Source organism: Homo sapiens, chromosome 9 (assembly GCF_000001405.40).
Source record: "Homo sapiens chromosome 9, GRCh38.p14 Primary Assembly".
NCBI classification, from domain to species: domain Eukaryota; kingdom Metazoa; phylum Chordata; class Mammalia; order Primates; family Hominidae; genus Homo; species Homo sapiens.
The window spans coordinates 35298755-35317630 of NC_000009.12; the positions used below are offsets into that span (position 1 = coordinate 35298755).

Here is an 18876-nt window from a genome sequence, read left to right on the forward strand (position 1 = left end):
CTACCTTGGTACACAGAAGAAGGCAGTCTTTAATCTAAGTGAAAGAAAGTTCAGGCTATCTTCAGTATTCATTGTTTTAAGGTGGGCATGTAGCTTCTGCTGCTATAATCAGTATAGGGAAAGATTTTCTTTTCACTGTGATCCTCAATGCATATAGCCTTTAGATTTCACAAACAACAAATTATAATGCCTTAGGCTGGGCATGGTGGCTCATGCCTGTAATTCCAGTAGTTTGGGAGGCTGAGGGCGGGTGGATCACCTGAGGTCAGGAGTTCAAGACCAGCCTGGCCAACATGGTGAAAACCCACCTCTACTAAAAATACAAAAATTAGCTGGGCCTAGTCGTGGGTGCCTGTAGACCCAGCTACTCGGGAGGCTGAGGCAGGAGAATTGCTTGAACCCAGGAGGCGGACATTGCAATGAGCTGAGAATGTGCCATTGCACTCCAGCCTGGGCAACAAGAGCAAAACTCCGTCTCAAAAAAAAATTATAAGGCCTTAAATAATTTGTTATTTTTTTGTAGTATAACAAAGTTTGACTTCTGCTGATAGTAAAAAATGGTTTTATATGTATTTTTTTCTTATTAAAAGAAATATGTTTGACTATATTCTTGGCTACACATCCTCAAATATAACTTTCAGAAAGTTAACAGCTTGGCTTCTTTTTAGACTAAAAATTTATCAGCAAATTTCGTTTTCTTGAAATCCCTTGATATATTTTGCTGGTATACTTTAATATTGCAAATACATTCTAGATATTGGTACAACATGTTTCATTTTTTTCATTTGTTTCTTAGAAAAATAAAAGAATTCTAAAAAGCTCACCAATGAAAAATGATTGCAAGTTGAAGCATTTAAAAATTGATATTATAGCTGTTCTTTTTCTCATATGGAATAAACTATTTGACTACATTGATATAATATTTAAGAACATGTGGATTTCCTTTTCATATTTTTTTAGTCTGAATGCTTTTTATCACATTGGCAATTTTATTGTTCTAGTCTTCTCATTGAACATGTATTAAATCTTATAACTTCTTTCTTCCTTTTCCCTGTCTCTTCCTTTTTCTTTGCTTTATTGTTCCTCCAATTTTATCCCTTCACATCAGACAAGGCTCACAGGCTAAAGATGAAAAAATTAGGATTATTTCAGCTTTCTCTGATGTTGACTATGAAGAGCAAGAAGATATACATAAGGAGATAGAGGGGAAAATATCACAAGAGTTTCTAGAAAATAATAACATAAACTTGAAGGAAGCAGAGATAAAAGAAATTAGAACCCTTTCAAAAGCTGATAAATACTACAGCCAACAAAAACAACCAAAGTATAAGAACAGGAAAAAGATACCACCTCAGAGCCAACAAACAGAATTCTCTACTGAGTTTAAGGTTGAAACTTCTGTTTTCTCCAGGTATGCTCAGAAATATGATACACTAGATAGAAGAAGAAAAAAGAAATCCTTATACAATCATTTTGAAGACAGTGAAAGAAGGCAATATGGTGAGAGATCTGAAACTAAGACTAACTACAAAAGTACATATTCTAATACTGAAAATTGTACCCTTTGCCATACTGAAAAGAAACAAAATATGGGGTACCCAGTTTTGTACCCCTACAAAAATGGATTTGTGGTTAAGAGTGGCATGCAGCGCATTAAGTTGGAAAGTCATGATTATGATCTGTCCAGTTGTTTAAGGCACTGTGAAAAGTCATCTGGCTCAAACCAGCATGTCACTAATTTTACCTCATTAGATATTCTTGAAGATTCTACTAGTAGTACTTCTGATGAACTTCTGGGTTCCCCCATTTCTGATAAGCAGGAAAATTTACAGTCACCAACATGGCATTCATCCAATGTCCACCATATTGGAGATTTTCCTGAGGAATATTATGTAGCAAATTCAGCATTGCCATTACAAAGGATGAATTGTGATGCAAAAACACTTGGAGATCTGTCTGAGTGCTCTATAGAAGAGATAACCCCTTCCTCTATTGAGGAGCCCAAGGAGGACCGTATTGATACAATGGATGAGCTTCAGTGTTTGGTAGAAACGGTGTCAGAATATTTAGCAGAGAAGGAAGAGGAGATTAATAGATTTGGTTCACTTTCAAAAACTAAAAAATCACATAAACAAAATAGTACTCTTGATGCAGAACAGAGAACGCCTGGGGATCAAATACCACCTTTAACTATTGTCAAGAATGACAAGGACACGGCCATCTCTTTCCCTGAGTTGACTGGAGTACAATGTGCTGTTGGTTCTTTGTTTAGTTCACTCACAGAAAAAGTGGGTTCAGGCACAAAGCATCTAACAAACTCTGTGGAAAAGTTGGTTTCCTTAGTTCCAGAAAAAACAGAAACTCTTAATCAAATAGAGGCAATTAATTTGGGATCTAAACCCAGAGCCATGGCAGTATTGGGGAAGGATCTTTCCATGCAATCTCCATTATCCTCTCAAAAAGATGATAATGTGAATATAGACAGACATAGAAAAACCTCTGAAAATGAGCACATGGGTAATAAAACTGGGAGTTTATACTTTCAGAATACAACAGAAAGTATTGCAAAGGACTTGGCTCCACAGAGTCAGAGTTCAGTTATAAAGTCGGTTTTCAGCAGGTTAAATCCATTGAAGATCTTTTCAGAAAAGGAGGAAACAAAAAAAGATGATGACCAGAGTAAGCCACCAAGAAAAGAAAGCTTTGTTGAGTGTGGTTTGGAGTTAAATAAAAGGGAAGGCACTCTTGACAATTACAGTAGTAGCATCATTGCTTTAAATGGGAGTGATGAAGAAACTACGGGCTGGTTCCAGATGCCCACAAGTGAGAATTTGTTGTCCTCCCAAGTAACCAGTGAACCTTCAAACTTAGTTAGTTCTGCAAGTAAAAATGATGAGAGTCTATTGGAAGAAAAACTCTGTATAGATCTGTCTCTTTTACCAGATCAACAAAAAATATGTGCCAAAGATACTCCAGGACATCCTTGTATAGCTGGCAGTAGAACTGCAAATAAAGAGGTATTTTCAAAGCCATTAGAGGAGGACAAAGTTACAGGTAATGATGATTTCCTTGAGCCACTCAGAAAATCATTTAGCCAGTTTTTGCTCACTTCCCCTGAGACTTGTTCAAAGGAAAGTTTGTCAGAACCTGTGAAAATTCGCCAGGTGGAGGAAGATGGTTTAGAAAGGGGCTCTAAGAAAGATGGTCATTCCTTTTCCTTTAGTGGAAAACTAAATCTTCCATTTTTTAGAAGTCTTGGTCATTCTGAAAAGCAACAGGAGTTAAAAGAGAAAGGAAGCATTTTTCCTTTGTTTAAATTTTCTTTCACTGACAGCAAGGTTACTGTTAATGACCAGAGTTTACGTGGCTCAGCAGTAACCACTGATGAGGAGAGCAAAAAAAATTGCCATGAAGATACCAAACATAGTTCAATAAAATCTAGTTCTGTTCCAAATATTCATAGTGATCTAGGAAAATTTGACAGTACAGAGGAATTTAAAAAGAATGACCAGATAAATTGTCCTGAAGATGCCAAACTTAATTCAATAAAATCTAGTTCAGTTCCAAATATTCATGATGATCTAGAGAAGTTTGACAGTATAAAGGAATTTAATAAGAATGACCAAGTAAATTGTCCTGAAGATGCCAAACTTAGTTCAATAAAATCTGGTTCAGCTCCAAATACTCAGGATAATCTAGGGAAATTTGACAGTACAGAGGAATTTAATCAGAATGACCAAATAAATAGTCCTGAAGATGCCAAATTTAATATAATAAAGTCTGATTCAGTTACAAATATTAATAATGATCTGGGGAAATTTGGGAATATAGAGGAATTAAATCCAAGTGACCACACAGCAGGACAGAATTTTGAAAGGGATGGCTTAGCCATCCCTGGAGTTGTGCCCAAAGAACATATAACTTCAGATCCTTTAGGAGAAGATAAGAATCTTATACAAGCAGCATCTTCAGTAGCATCAGACTCTTCATTAGAGTGTATTTCTACCACTTCCAAATCCACTTTGGTTAATGAAATTAATGAAGATGAGGTTATAGATAAGACTTCCAAGAAAAATACCCAAGGAAGCTTCCTTTCTGGCCTGTTTAATAGGTTTTCTTCTGCTGAAAATTTGTCTAGTCAAGAATTAAATTTGAAAAATGATGACTCCCATCACAAGAATAATACCCCAGGTTTAATCTCTGGAATATTTAACCTGCTATCAAATAGCGGTATGATTGATCATAAACCAGAGGAAGCAAAGTTCATGTCTTTAGGCAACATGAAGAGTTTGAATGGAGATAACCATTTATCCTTGGATGAGGTCCCTGCTACTTCATGTGTGACTTCTGAGAACCCGAAGAACCATGTTGAAAAACATGAAACTTCTAGCTTCATAGAAGCCTCCTTATTACCTAAAGAAAACATACCATTATCTGATGCTGGGGATGATAATCATTATTGTTCCCCTACAGAGAAAAACCAGCAAAGTGAAAAGCATCACCCCTCCTCTGAGAACATTGTACTTCACTGTGCTCCAAGTGCTCAGCTAGGTTTTTTGGAGAAATCTATGGCTAAGAGGCAAATGCCAAACCATGTTCTTGAGGCAAAACTACATGAAAATTCAAACAAGTTAAATTCACCTGTACTAAATACCAACATTCTCAATAAATCAAACAACTATCAGGCTTTTGAAGAGATGAACAGTCCTTTCTGTTTTGAATGGGACTCTGACATAAAAGATTTGTCTAAAAATTCCAGAAAACTTCAGCCAGTTTATTATATGTTAAATCAAAATAGATTTCTATCAGCCGATGCTTGCTTGTGGCTTGACTCAGAAAACTCAGTGATAAATTTTTGCCAAAAAGATCAAAATGCAAACATCTTGGAGTGGAGAACAAATCCAAACAGTGTCATTTGGTGTGACTTACCATATGAATCATTCAATCAGTTAGCATTTAATGAAGATTACTTATTAAGAGGTGATGTGTGGGCAGCTAACTCATTATATGGAAACTCTGGTCCTCTTCCAATTAATGAGGCTAATAATTCACTAGAAGAATTACCCATTGACTTAAGTTCTTCATCAGATCATGAAAAGACTACATGCCCCGTAGTTGATCAAGAATCATTAAGAATGGATGAAAACTTTGTTTTTTCAAGTTTTGGTTATGAGTACCAGGAATGGTTGTCATGTCTTGAACATGGAGTGTGGTGGCCATCAGAGGATGGGGATTATGGATATTATATGTTTCATGATGGTCAATATATCTATTCTCTTCTCACTGATTCTACTGGGCAGTATGCATATTTATTTATACCTGATTCTTATCAAGAGTATTTGGATTGTGATTTACAGACAAATGGTCTATCAAGTATTACGTTGGATGACAGCATTATTTCTGCCTGTAGTTTTAAAGTACTTGATAAGGAAGATGAAATATTTTGGTATGTTGAAGAGGAACCAATTGATGACCCTCTTGATTTATCTTTAGCTTTGCCAAGAAGTGAGGAACCATTGTATCTAAATTTAGAAACCTTTTCACAAGTACTTAAAGAGTCAAGTTGTGACCAAAGCGATCAGCCACTAGATTTTTCAGGCTATAATCGTCAAAAGTTTAAAGGAGACTTTAGATCTTTCAAAGAAAGGCCGTGTGGTTCTGAAGACGCTGAATGTACATTAGATCTCAGAAATCAGCCCCAAACTATTAGTAATCATGTCTCAAGCAGAGATCAAATTATAGAGAGAGATAAAAACCAGCCTCTAGCTGAAGATTCATCAGTTCACCTTTCCAGTTTCCATTGGCTTCAGTCTTCTGTTGAAGAAGTTACCACTTTGGTTCATCCTGAAAATATGACTAAAGGCTCACAACAAGCAGAAGAGACATCATTAGTGAACAAAGTGGCTTCAGTATTTTCTGTTTTGGGTGCCTCAGTTGGTAGTACTTTGAAGTTTGATAAGAGTGAATCCTTAGAGGCTTTGGCCATGCAGAAAGTGAATCAGCAGTCAGATTTAGCAGAGCTCACAAATGATGGCTTTCAGTCATTAATCATGAGTAAGCAATTAGAGGGTAACTCCCCAAATGTGGAAAAAAGTCTTCTTAAGGATTCAGAAAGACAGATAGTATCCAATGTTCAGCATCCAGAATTGATCAAAAATATAAGGCAAGAATTCTCTTTAAATAAAAACAACCATGTGAAAAAGCAAAGTTTGTTAAAATCTGGTTTCCAGGTAAGCCAAACAACTCCTCAGGCTAAATCAGGTGTAAAAGATGATGAAATCATTACAACAGACTCTATTTCAGTTTCTCCTGCACCTCAGCATAGTGGGGATGAGCGTGAGAATTATGAGCTTCCCCAGGGCCAGTCATCCAAAGAGTCTGATAAAACATTATTTAAAAGTTCATTGAAACTCTTCAGTCAAGAAGAATCGTCAGTTAGTATGACAGCAAATGAAAAACAGTCATCTGGATTTTTGAATCTTTTTAAGACTCAGGTGAATAAAGAAGGATCACCAAACTTAGAAAAGATTGGTGATACAAATGTCAAGATACCACCTCAAGAAAAGAAAGAATCTTCTGGTGTTTCAAATTTTTGGGGTACCCTTGGGGATTTCTTTAAAGCCAATGTATCTCCTATACAGACAACTGAAAATACGTCTGTTTCTTCAATGACTATTAAGGATGAGGTCAGGTCAAGTCCTACTCCTATGGAGCTAGCTAGCCAGGGTGCTGGGAACTTTCCTGCTGCACCAATTTCCTCTAAAGGGAAGGCTAGAGTTAGAAGACTGAACAAACAGACTACTATCGATGACAGTAGGTTAGAGGAATCAACTAGAGGGATCCAGGGTAATGATTTGACTGAAAAAGAGGTACCATTCAGAGACCATCTAATCCAGCAGTCACCTAATTCATCTTTTTCAACAAGTAGTCTCAAAGAGTCTTCCAGGGAGTCTTCAGTAGAAACTAGTGGTGTGACTACAGTGACAGAAGTTTCAAAAAGTAATGAAATATCCTTTGATACCCTGAGCAAGAGAAATTCAAATGAACAAGATCATTTTTCTGACAAAGACTGGAGTTTCTCTATGGCTGCAACATCTTCATCTCAACCAGAGTTATCAACCAAAAAGAGTATATTTTCTTTTCTCACTGGATCTGAAAAATCTGAGAACAGAGCCTCTGCTACTCTACCAAGAGCCAAATCTCAGGCAGAAGGGCTATTCACACTTCCTTCATTTTTTTCCACTGCTAGCTCAAGCATTAAGAAGGATGCCTCTCATAGTAGTTCTACTTTTAGTTTCTTCAGCTTGTCCTTTTTGGATCAAAAAAAGGAGACCTCTGGGGAAAAACAAAGCATTTCAACTGTTGTTCCAGTGACCTCCCAGCCCTGTAAGAAGACAAATGTTTTTGTAGAGAGTGGTAGCACAATGACCAGAGAAAGTTCCAGTGGTCATAGAGATAGCATAGCCCAAGAAGTAGTTCATGAACAGCAAATGGCACCTTGTATTTCCATTAACAACACCATTGAGGTTACCTCCCTTGCAGATGAGCTCAGTGTAGACAAGGACTGTCAGGAAAAACTGAGTTCCAATATTGTACCAGGGACATCAGTGGATTTCCAGATGAATGAATTGCAAAAAGACATTATTCCTCCTTCACCAGAATTTCAGGCACAGGCTGAAACATTCCTCACTGGCCCAGAGAACCTTGGGATAGCTCCCCATGAAGAAGAGGCTTTCAACCACAAAGCCTTCCCCAGTGACTCACTGTCCAACTCTTTTTCACATGCTAAACAGTTAATTGAAAAATTCAATGATTTAGACACTTGTACTAACTGCCACCAAAATGAGAAATTTACTACTGACCCAGTGAACTTGCCATTAGAAAAGGCCCCCGATGAGGTCTTACCACAGATCCTAGAGCCAGCCTCTTCCTCTCCAGAGCCAGGGTGTGCAGGGAACCTTCAGAACCAAGATGCAGATAAAGAGGAAGACAAATTTGCATTAGGCTCTTCAGTAGACATGCTTTCAGGGTTTGTGACCAAAGTGAAATCTTTCTCTGGGAGCTTAATTGAACCTCCCAAAACACTCTCTGGACTTTTCTCCTCTCCTAAATCTCCAAAGAAAAACTCCTTTTTCTCTCTTGCTTCTGATGTATCATCTCAGCCCCTCAAAGGTGAATTATTTGGAATTTTCAAAAGTCCCAAGCCAGAGCCATACAAACAAGAATCATCTCTCCCAGCTACTTCATGGCTTCAAAATGGTTGTTCCAGAGATGCTGTAGGATCAGTACCTCCAGAAAGGAGAGAAGCTGCCTTTACAGCACTAAGTTCAGAATCTACTCTCAGTGACTGTAGAATGACTGTGGTTAGTGCAAAGCCAGAATCAGATATCTTGACAGATGATCCTAAACTAACAACCAAAATGGAAGACAATAATACTCCTGAAAATATTCTGGAACCTCAACGTTCTGAAACAATTAATACATCTTCTTTCTCGGGTGATGATACTGGGCAAGGAGTATTGTCTCTGAGTGATGAAGGAGACATGGGGATATTGCAAGCTACAGACACGGAGGCATCGTTAGAAGCAGAGAACTTTGCGCTGCCAGCACAGTTGCATCCAGATCCTACCTGCATTGCCGAAGAGCTTCCTCCTCCCATTCAGCCACCTCTTCCTCTTGAGCCAGAGCCAGCTATTCAAACTGCCTCCACAAACCAAGACTTACTGGAGCTGCATCCAGCCAGTTCACTAGAAACTGATACTATGCTGTTCAATGATGCAAGTGTGAGCCAGAGCACCACTCTGGAAACCGAAGGGCACTTTTCTCATCCTCTGCTGGAGGACCCTGTGCTTGCTGCCAGAGAAAGTTGTGAGATAATTCATGCCCAGAAAGATCCACCTGTAGTACCCCAGGAAACAGAGCAGTCAAGACCACGTTTTGAGATCCCAAATGTGACCACTTGGCCAAAGCTTCGTTTGCCATCCTCTGCTACTAACCATGGGAAACCACTGAGCTCTTTCTTTTCCTCACCTCTCCCCTCTGGCAATAGAGCAGCAGAGACTGGTTTAATGTCCAGTTTTAAGAAGTTGTCAACTCTATTTGAGGGAAGTAGTGAGGGGAAAGGGAGTGTATTAGCAAGTGATTCAAAACTAGGATTTGGAAAGGTAGATCTTTCATTTCCATGGCCAAAAGAGAACAAAGGGGTCCCTGAACAAATGCCTACAGAATCCTCCCCTCCAGTTTTAGTTACTAGCAGTGATCAGGACCTTAACTCCAGTGAGGCTAACAAAGCTTTGAAGTCTTCTCAAATATCTGGGGCCAGTGCTCAGCCAGGTAAAGTCTACACTCAGCCCTCTGGGACCTCTGAGCAGCTGGTGGCCAGTCCAGAGGTCTGTGCTCAGGGGCTTTCAGGGTCTGGAGAAGGGGGAAACCAGCAGGAAATCTCAGCATCTGGAGAACACTGGGATACCAAAGCCAACCTGTCTAGCCCCGCCTGTCCTTCAGGGAAACATGAGGAAGAACCCTCCACTGTCTCTGAGATATTTCACCAGCTAGAAAAACAAGAAGAGGAGGCAGTACCTGCCAGTACTGACTCTGATTTGAATGTACAGCAGCCAGTCACTCTGAATGACATCAAGGAGCCCATGACCAACAAAAGGCCTGTTCTTAACTCAAGCATCATAAATGGCTTTAAGGAATTGACCATTTATGATGCAAGTGACTTAGTGGTAGATTAATCATAGCTTGCTTTTTATCCTTCTTGTGTCTTTCCTAGTACCCGAGCTTCATGTTAATTAGGGGTTAAATAACAAGAACTCAGTGTGTGGGTATTTTCATCCTCCCCTTCTCTCTCTGCCAAATGTAATTCATTTACTGGAACAAGGAGCTTCCTGCTTAAAGCAAAAGCTGGGCCCCCGATATTTACTCACTCTGGTTTGCTCTGCCTTGTATAATGTGAAATGGAGAAAGGAGGGCAGGAAGAGGTAGTAAGTAGTTGGTGGTATATATTAACTACAACTACATGATAGGCTAGGATGCTTCCTTGGGCCTTAGGCACTTATATCTTGTAGGAGATGGGGATAGATCTATTTTGCTTTGTTTTTTCAAGTCTTCTAAGATGCTTTCTCCAGTGGCAATGAGTGTATTAAGCAAAATACAAAGTGCAAAGGATGCCTTGGGATAGTCTGTATTCCCATATCCTATTCCATACAGATTTGCATAGTTTCTTCCATGGTATCATCTCTGCCTTTTACTACCCTCAAGGCTGATGTCTGATAAATGCTTTGAGTAAAATCTCACAGGAACTCAGAGCTGTCCTTTGCTGTAGTTCTTCAGTCTCGAGCAGTGTACAGGATCTATCTGCAGAGGGTACTGTTATTTCCCCTAAGAAGCAGTACCATACAGTACAGATTAAGAATGCTACCTTGACCTCTGGCCCAAACTTGTTCAAAGGGGTTGGTCAGGGTCAGTGTGTGTGTGTGTGTGTGTGTGTGTGTGTGTGTGTGTGTGTATACTTATGTACAAGTATATGTGTTTGTGTGTTGAACTACTCAGAACAGTGACCTGGTACCTATTCTGCTGGCATGGGCTAGAGGATCAGAAATCAGCCTGAAAATACCAGGTAATTAGGAGGAACTTTAGGGAAAATCCCATTGGAAAATAACAGTGATTTCTCTTCTTTGACCAAGGGTAAACACAAGCCCTTTAGTTAAAGGCTTGACTCTGTGGTAAGAAAATTCTTCAAAAGAACTGAAGCCCTTAGATGACAGGGCCATAAAACTCAAGGAAGTAACTTCTAGATACTGCTCTTCTTTCCACCACTCTGCCCTTCTTGCCACTGTCACATTCTCTGCTATAACTGCTTTCTCTCATGACTTTCTGGATATGGGAATACAGGTGATTGAGAAAAGATTGGCTTGCTGGTCTTCAGATATAGAGATGCATGAATACGGCTCTGACCCAGATCCTGGAGTTGGACTTTGTCCACTCTTTCCAAAACTGAGCCTTGCCCTGAAAGAAGCTCAGTTACAGATGTTCATCTTTGGGACGCTTCCTATGCTGCCAGGGATATCATTGTAGCATTTATGTTGATGAGACCATTCGTTTGTGTATTCTCTTGGTCCTGGCCTCTATCTTCCAATGGGTTCTATTAACTCATCTTGCAGATGAGGAAACTGAGATGATAACTGAAAGAACATGTCTGCTCTCCTTTGCTCATCCTAAGGTACAGGCGTACACATTTACAATTGTAGAGGAAGAAATGATGACCTCAATGTAATAAGTAATAGAAAAAGAGTGGAGTTCATTCATTCCATTTTACTGTGTGGAAATTAAAGAAAGATTAATCACAGCCACTGGACAAGCTTCTTTAGAAGACTGAATAAAGAATTTTAGGAATAAGTAACAGGCCATTTTAATAATTTTTAATCCTACTCACAAATAGCCTATTAAGATAAAATATACTTCAAAGTCAAGTGCAGAACTGAGGTTAAGTGTCGTTGGAGAACCCAGCATGTTGTGTTGTTTTCCTGTTGTGTTTTCGCTGAATAGAGACTAATTCTTCTAGATTATGAAGTTTGGTCCTCTCTTCCCAGGAACCTCCTATTTGATTCTTGCTACTAATGTAGTCATTATTTCCTGGATGTCTCCTTTCTTTTGTCCTGGTCCCTGATTGCATTTATTTACTTATCTGTCTTTCTGTCATTCTCACAGCCCCACCAGCAGCAGTAGGTATGGCTCCTCCTGTAATGTGAGTCAAGGAAGCTCTCAGCTAAGTGAACTAGACCAGTATCACGAACAAGATGACGACCATCGGGAGACGGACTCGATTCATTCTTGCCACAGCTCTCACAGCCTGTCCAGAGATGGCCAAGCAGGTTTTGGAGAACAAGAGAAACCCTTGGAGGTGACAGGTCAAGCAGAGAAGGAGGCAGCATGTGAACCCAAGGAGATGAAAGAAGATGCCACAACCCACCCTCCCCCAGATCTGGTGCTGCAAAAAGACCACTTCCTAGGTCCCCAGGAGAGGTAGGCAACAGCTGCCTTGAGGAGCTCACATGGCTTCCTCAGTACCTGCCCTGTGGTATTGCTGAAAATAAGTGATTGTCATTTGTTTCCCTGCAGCTGGGTATGGTGGTAGTTAACACCTCCAGGCTCAACTCTGTATTGCTTCCTTTGATTTATGGTGCACTTTCCAAGACATTTTGGAGATCTCTGAAGAATATTTGGGTTTTTGTTTGTTTGCTTTTGAGATAGGGTCTCACTCTGTTGTCCAGGCTGGCACGATCTTGGCTCACTGCAGCCTCAACAGCCTGGTCTCAAGCAATTCTCCCACCTCAGCTTCCTGAGTAGCTGGGACTACTAGGTGTGCACCACCACACCTGGCTAATTGTATGTTTATAGAGACAAGGTTTCACCATGTTGCCCAGGCTGGTCTTGAACTCCTGAGCTCAAGCAATCCACCTGCCTCAGACTCCCAAAGTGCTGGGATTACAGCGGTGTGCCACTGCACCCAGCCAGCACTTGGGTTCTTTGTAGTTAGTGAGCTGCAGTGTACCAGGGCTTCTTGAGTCTGCAGTTCATAGCTTACTAGTTGACCTTGTATATGGCAGCCTCTGAGTCAGGAACTGACTTGAGCCAGGTTATTTCATCCACTGGGGCTGTGGTAGGTACTTTGGCTGACTTCCTAACCTATTAAGAATGCTACTTTGACCTCTGGCCCAAACTTGTTCAAAGGGGTTGGTCAGGGTCAGTGTGTGTGCATGTACTTATGTACAGGTATATGTGTATGTGTGTTGAAGTACTCAGAACAGTGACCTGGTACCTATTCTGCTGGTATGGGCTAGAGGATCAGAAATCAGCCTGAAAATACCAGGCAATTAGGAGGAACTTAGGGAAAATCCCATTGGAAAATAACAGTGATTTCTGTTGTAACTTTTTTGGTGAACATTTTGTTTTGTTTTTCCCTGGCTGAGAAACCCAGGACAGAGTTAAGAAAGAATTGATCTAGAAGTCAGATTTAACCCACCCCTCAGCCTCCTCAGGGCCTAGCAATGTGTCTGCCAATTGGTATCCATAGGAAGAAAAATTTAAAATGTATCCTCTTTAACATCTCATAATGAAGCTGAGTACAGAGTCTGAATGTTATTACTGAGCTAAATCGGTTAGACTAGCTGATAGGTTGGAGCAGAGCCAGAGTTCTCAGTCTCGGCACTCGTGACATTTTGGGCCAGATTATTCTTTGTTGTGTATATTATAGGATGTTTAATAGCATCACTGGCCTCTACACACTAGATGCCAGTAGCAATCCTTGCAACCCTCAGTTGTGACAATTAAAACTGTCTCCTGACAGATTTCCCCTGGCGGGGACAGTTGCCCACTGGGGTAGAGTGATAAGGGATGGGTGTGACTTAGAGTTTCAAATTTCAAGATCTAATAATAAAGCCTCTCACTGAAACACCAGAGCACTGAATGCAGATTACATGGTAAAAATTAGGGAGTGACTGGTGCTTCTACTTTACCACTGGATTAATAGATGAGTCGCAAACCTTTCTGAAGATATTAACTTATTTTCTCTCTTCTTCCCTTTTTTGGTTTTTGGTCATCTCTGGTAGCTCATCTAATAGATGGGACATCCAGGAGGTGAGCTGTGGACCAGGCTTCTTATTGGGTTGATGACTCACTGAAAAACTGACTCTGGCTCTCCATAGACCTTAGACTTGGCAGTCACTGTTATCAGGGCAGAGTTCCTGGTGGAGAAGCAGAAGTGCCCAGCACAAGTCCTTGTCCTTCTCTACTGGTTGTGTCCTCTCAGGTCCTAGCTGTGAGAGTGAAACCCAGTTCTACCTTGGCCAGAAGTGCCCACAAATGTTTTACAACAGTTGACACATTTAGTTGGCATCAGAAACGACCATATATTTTAACATGTCTAGATGGTGGACACTTGTCTGCTGAATTGGCTGTAGACCTCAAAGAGAGAAAGGAGAAACATTGTTGCCAAGAATTAACCACTATTCTAGTTAATAATGTGGATAATGAGTTGTTCTAATGCAGGGTAGTGTTTCTGTCTCAAAGGTATTTTGTTATGTGTATTGTTCATTTTACTGAGGTTGTTCTAGAAGCAGCTCAAGGAACCAGATCATGGCAGTAAAAGGGCTGTGTGTTTTTTTTCTTTTCTTTCTTGGCACTTTTCATGTAAAAAGGAATGGGTAAGCCTTCTAAAATACTTAGTGGAGCAGGAAGGGTTTGCAGGAACAAAATTCTGCCCTAAGGATGCTATGCAAAAGCCCCAAGGGAACTGATCGTTTTAAGAAGTGCAGTGAGAGGGGTTGAAAGGCTTATTCCACCCCTCTCTGCATGGTTTCTATACTACGTATTGACTCAGGGCTCTCGCCATTGCCTCTAGAGTCCTGATCCCAGACTGTTCCAGGGAGCTACCACATTGGGTAAATGACAAAAACGAGTAGGAAAAGAGGGAACAGATGAAAAGCTAAAAGGAATTGTCATTTTAGAGATGAATTATTTTCACATTGAGTATTCAGTACTATGCTGCTCATTGGGTAAATGAAAAAGAAGGAAAAGAAGGAACAGATGAGGCGCAGTGGCTCACGCCTGTAATCCCAGCACTTTGGGAGGCCGAGGTGAGCAGATTGCTTGTGCTCAGGAGTTCAAGACAAGCCTGGGCAACATGGCGAAACATCGTCTCTACAAAAAGTACAGAAATTAGCTGGGTGTGGTGGCACGCACCTGTAGTCCCAGCTATTTGGAAGGCTGAGGTGGGAGGATTGCCTGAGCCCAGGAGATTAAGGCTGCAGTGAGCCGTGATCATGCCACAGCACTTCAGCCGAGGCAACAGGGTGAGACCCTGTCTCAAAATAAATAAATAAATAAATAAATAAATAAATAAATAAATAAATAAATAAAAGAGGGAACAGATGAGAAGCTAAAAGGAGTTATCGTTTTAGAGAGGAATTGTTTTCACATTGGATATTCAAGTACTATGCTGTTTTAGTAGCCTGAATCACTAAATAAGTGTAGGCATGAGTACAAACCATTTTATTTTAGACATTTGGCAGTCTTGCCTTGAGCAGTGTCACCTTGTGGCCTTGGCTATTTTTAAGAAATGTACTTTTTCTCTGTTACAAGTTTTCCTGAGGAGAATGCATCTTCACCATTTACCCAAGCCAGAGCACATTGGATCCGAGCAGTTACCAAGGTTCGACTCCAGCTGCAGGAGGTAGGAAATCTGTTCTAGTACTGGTTGGGACAATTTTTCCTTTGAAATTGGGAGACATATGGTGCTGGAGAAGCAATCAGTGATTAGTCATCTTCTTACAGTGTGCTTCTGGGAATGCATGACAATTAAGCCAGAGCTTTAAGGGATGGGAAGTGGCCAGTGGCTTTCTTCTGTGCTGATTAATGGAAATCAAATAGACCTAGTGGGCTGAGAGCCTGACTGTAAAGTTAGATGCTTATTTTCAAGTACTGTTCATTGTCTCTTTGAAGCCGTTTGAGTTTAGGGCGAGTTTAGGGCAAGAAATGATTTCAAGCCCCTGAGGATAGTTGTCTCCCTTACCTAGCCGGTCCATACTGGCTCATCTGTAGGGCCAAAACAGGGTACAAAAATATCTATGGAATTTGCCAGTTTAAGTCCCAAAGTATCAGCACACTAAGATCTGAAACAACGTCAAAAAAATGTAAAAACAAAGATAAATATTTTTCATTTTCAGTGTTACAAGTTTGAAGTGTCTTTATCTGTGTGTTAGGAGGTAGGCAGTCTTTAGGCAGAAGGTACTTTTTTTTCCATATAAATTTAGGAGGTACCCGTGCAGTTTTGATACATGGATATGTTGCATAGTGGTGAAGTCTGGGCTTTGGGTGTAGCCATCATCTGAATAGTGTACATTATACCCATTAAGTTATTTCTCTTTCCTTACCCGCTTCCACCCTTCTAAGTCTCCAGTGTCTATTATTCCACACTCTAAATCCATGCGTACACATTATTTAGCTCCCACTTATAAGTGAGACCATGCAGTATCCCATGGTGTGTATATATATATATATACACCACATTTTTAAAAGCCAAACATCTGTTGATGGACACTTAGGTTGATTCCGTATCTTTTTTTTTTTTTTTTTTTTTTTTTTTTGAGTTCAGGTCTTGCTCCTTTGCCCAGCTGGAGTGCAGTGGTGTGATCATTGCAGCTTTGAACTCCTAGGCTCAAGCAATCCTCCTACCTGTGCCTCTTTAGTAGCAGGGTCTACAGGCATGCACCACCATGCCTGGCTAATTTAAAAAAAATTTTTTTTTTTTTTTTTTGTAGATGCAGGGTCTTGCTGTATTGCCCAGGCTGGTCTTGAACTCCTGGCCTGAAGTGATCCTCCCACTTTGGCCTTCCAAAGTGCTGAGAGTACAGGTGTGAGCCACTATACTCAGCCCATAATATTTTTGCTACTGTGAATAGTGCTGCAATAAACATATGGGTGCAGGTATCTTTTTGATATAATGATTTATTGAAGTTACATGTTTAATGACAATTGGCTGTCAGTAGTATAATATCTGGCAGATATTAAAAGCACAATCATGCTCACATATGTGCACATATACTTTAAAAATTAATTTATTTTGAAGCAATTTCAAACTTAAGGAAAAGTTGCAAAAACAGTAAAGAACTACTATGTCTCCTCACCCAGATGCTCCAACTATTCACATTTCACATTTACTTCATTGCCTTCCCTCCATTATGATCAATCTTTTTCTGAATCATTTGAGAGAAAATTGGAGACATGATATTCTGTCATTCCTAAATCTTCCTTTGTATTTCCCTATAAACAAGGCTACAGTTCTGTATAACCATGATATAACCATTCAAATCTGCCAAACAACAATAACAACACTATTATCAAGACCCTATCCATATTTTGCCAACCATCCCAACAATGTCTCTTTTTCCTTTCTAATCCAGAATCCAATCCAGAATGACATGTTGCATTTAGTCGTGATATCTCTTTAGCTTCGTTCGGTGTTTCCCATCCTTAGCAGTTTTAAATGGTATAGGCTTTTCATTTTGTAGCATGTTCTTCAGTTTGGGTCCATTCAGTGTTTCCTCATGTCCGGACTGAGGCCATCCTTTCATGGCAGGAATTACACAAAAAAAATGATGCTGTGCTCTTTTCAGAGCATTGCGTCAGAAAGTACCTGATGTCAACATGTCCTACCATTTATAATGTCAGCCTTGATGACTTGGTTAAGTTTGCATTGGCCAGGTTTCTCCACTGTCAAGGTACCATTTCTTCCCTCTGTAATTGTTAAGTGCCTTGTGGTGCAGTACTCTGAGGATATGCTGGTATTTTGTTCCTTATCAAATCTCTACCTACCAGCTAAGTAGCCGTCTCCTATCTGAATCTACCACCACTAATGATGGTTGCCAATTGGTAACTTTCTGTTTCTATTATTCTTTCTATATTAATTAATTAGTTGGCACTCTATTTTTAGGAAGAGATTTCCCTTTTCTCTCATTAATTTATTTATGTCAATATTGCATTATGACTCTTACATTTCTAATTTATTACATGAGTTATAATCCATTATTGTCATTTATTTTGGTGCTCAAATCGTTCTGGCTTCATATGAGCACTCTTAATTTGACCCTTCAGGGAGAAGATAATGTTTTAGTAATTATTGAAAAGATAGCTGCTTGGAAAAGGTATTGTGAATACAGATATTTGAAAATGCTATTATTTGTATATAGATGTGCGTGTGTGTGTTCTTTTATCAGAAACAATGTTACTGATAAAAACTCATAATTGCATGCTCTAAAATCTTGGAAAGAGACTATTAACATATTAAAAATATTTCTAATGAAGATTTTCAATGAGTTTTGAACTTACTTGTTAAAAATATGAAAATATTTCTCACAATTTTGCAAGAACGGCTGACTGACATCAGAGAAGAGGAAAAATTACTAGCCAAAGTTTAACAAAATCTCTGAATAATTAGTATGTTGGAACCAATTGCTCTTCTTTCATTAGATTTGATATATCATTATCTTTTTCGGCTGTGACAGCTATGAAAACCATGTATTGAAGTAATTGAATGTACAATCAGACCTTAAAGTCATTCTATAACAAAATATTAAAATAAGATTTAGGAAACAATTAGGCACATTATATCACATTGTTTTAAAAAAAAGTATCACTGTGAATATTTTTAGTTACAGCAAAAAAATTTTTGTTAATAAACATTAAAAAACTTTTAAATTTGTTATGCTTTTCACATTTTAATTTTTATAATATATATTAATGCAGTTATACATCTATATAATTTTTAAATGAATAAGCGTACATATGTTGAGAGGTTCATGCTAAAAAAATTTTCCATGGATAGGGCTGCCTAACTGCAAACACTGGGAGTCTGTTGATATAGACTGACGTGAGGCAAACAAATGTTTGTTTATTTATTTATTGAGACAGGGTCTTACTCTGTCGCTTAGGCTGGAGTGCAGTGGCATGATCATAGCTCACTGCAGCGTCAACCTCCTGGGCTCAAGTGATCCTCCCACCTCAGCCTCCCTTGTAGCTAGGACTATAGGTACGCACTACCACACCCAGCTGATTTTTTTTAATGCTTTGTAGAGATGGAATTTCACTGTGTTGCCCAGGCTGGTCTTGAACTTCTGAACTTCTGAGCTCAAGCGATCCTCCTATCTCAGCCTCCTAAAGTGCTGGGATTATAGGCGTGAGCCACTGCATCTGGCTAAAGAAGCTTTTTTTTTTTTTTTTTTTTTTAAGACAGAGCCTCACTCTGTTGCCCAGGCTGGAATGCAGTGGTATGATCTCGGCTGATTGTAATCTCCGCCTCCCAGGTTCAAGCAGTTC

General features: G+C 39.6%; 1 protein-coding gene across 11 annotated transcripts in view; it reads left to right on the top strand.

Annotated features, from left to right (window-relative positions):
• The window catches only part of UNC13B (unc-13 homolog B), a 243327-nt gene that overhangs the window by 136746 nt on the left and 87705 nt on the right, over positions 1–18876 (top strand). For 10 of the 11 annotated variants that reach the window (NR_170667.1, NM_001387551.1, NM_001330653.3 and 7 more), the window contains 2 exons: positions 11713–12027; positions 15145–15235. Coding sequence is in view for 10 of the 11 variants with exons in the window: in NM_001387551.1 (NP_001374480.1) it covers positions 11713–12027; positions 15145–15235 (406 nt within the window). In the remaining variant the exon portion in view is untranslated. Of the gene's footprint in view, positions 1–1411; positions 9659–11712; positions 12028–15144; positions 15236–18876 lie in introns of all 11 variants that reach the window. The other variant, NM_001371189.2, reaches the window with a different exon arrangement.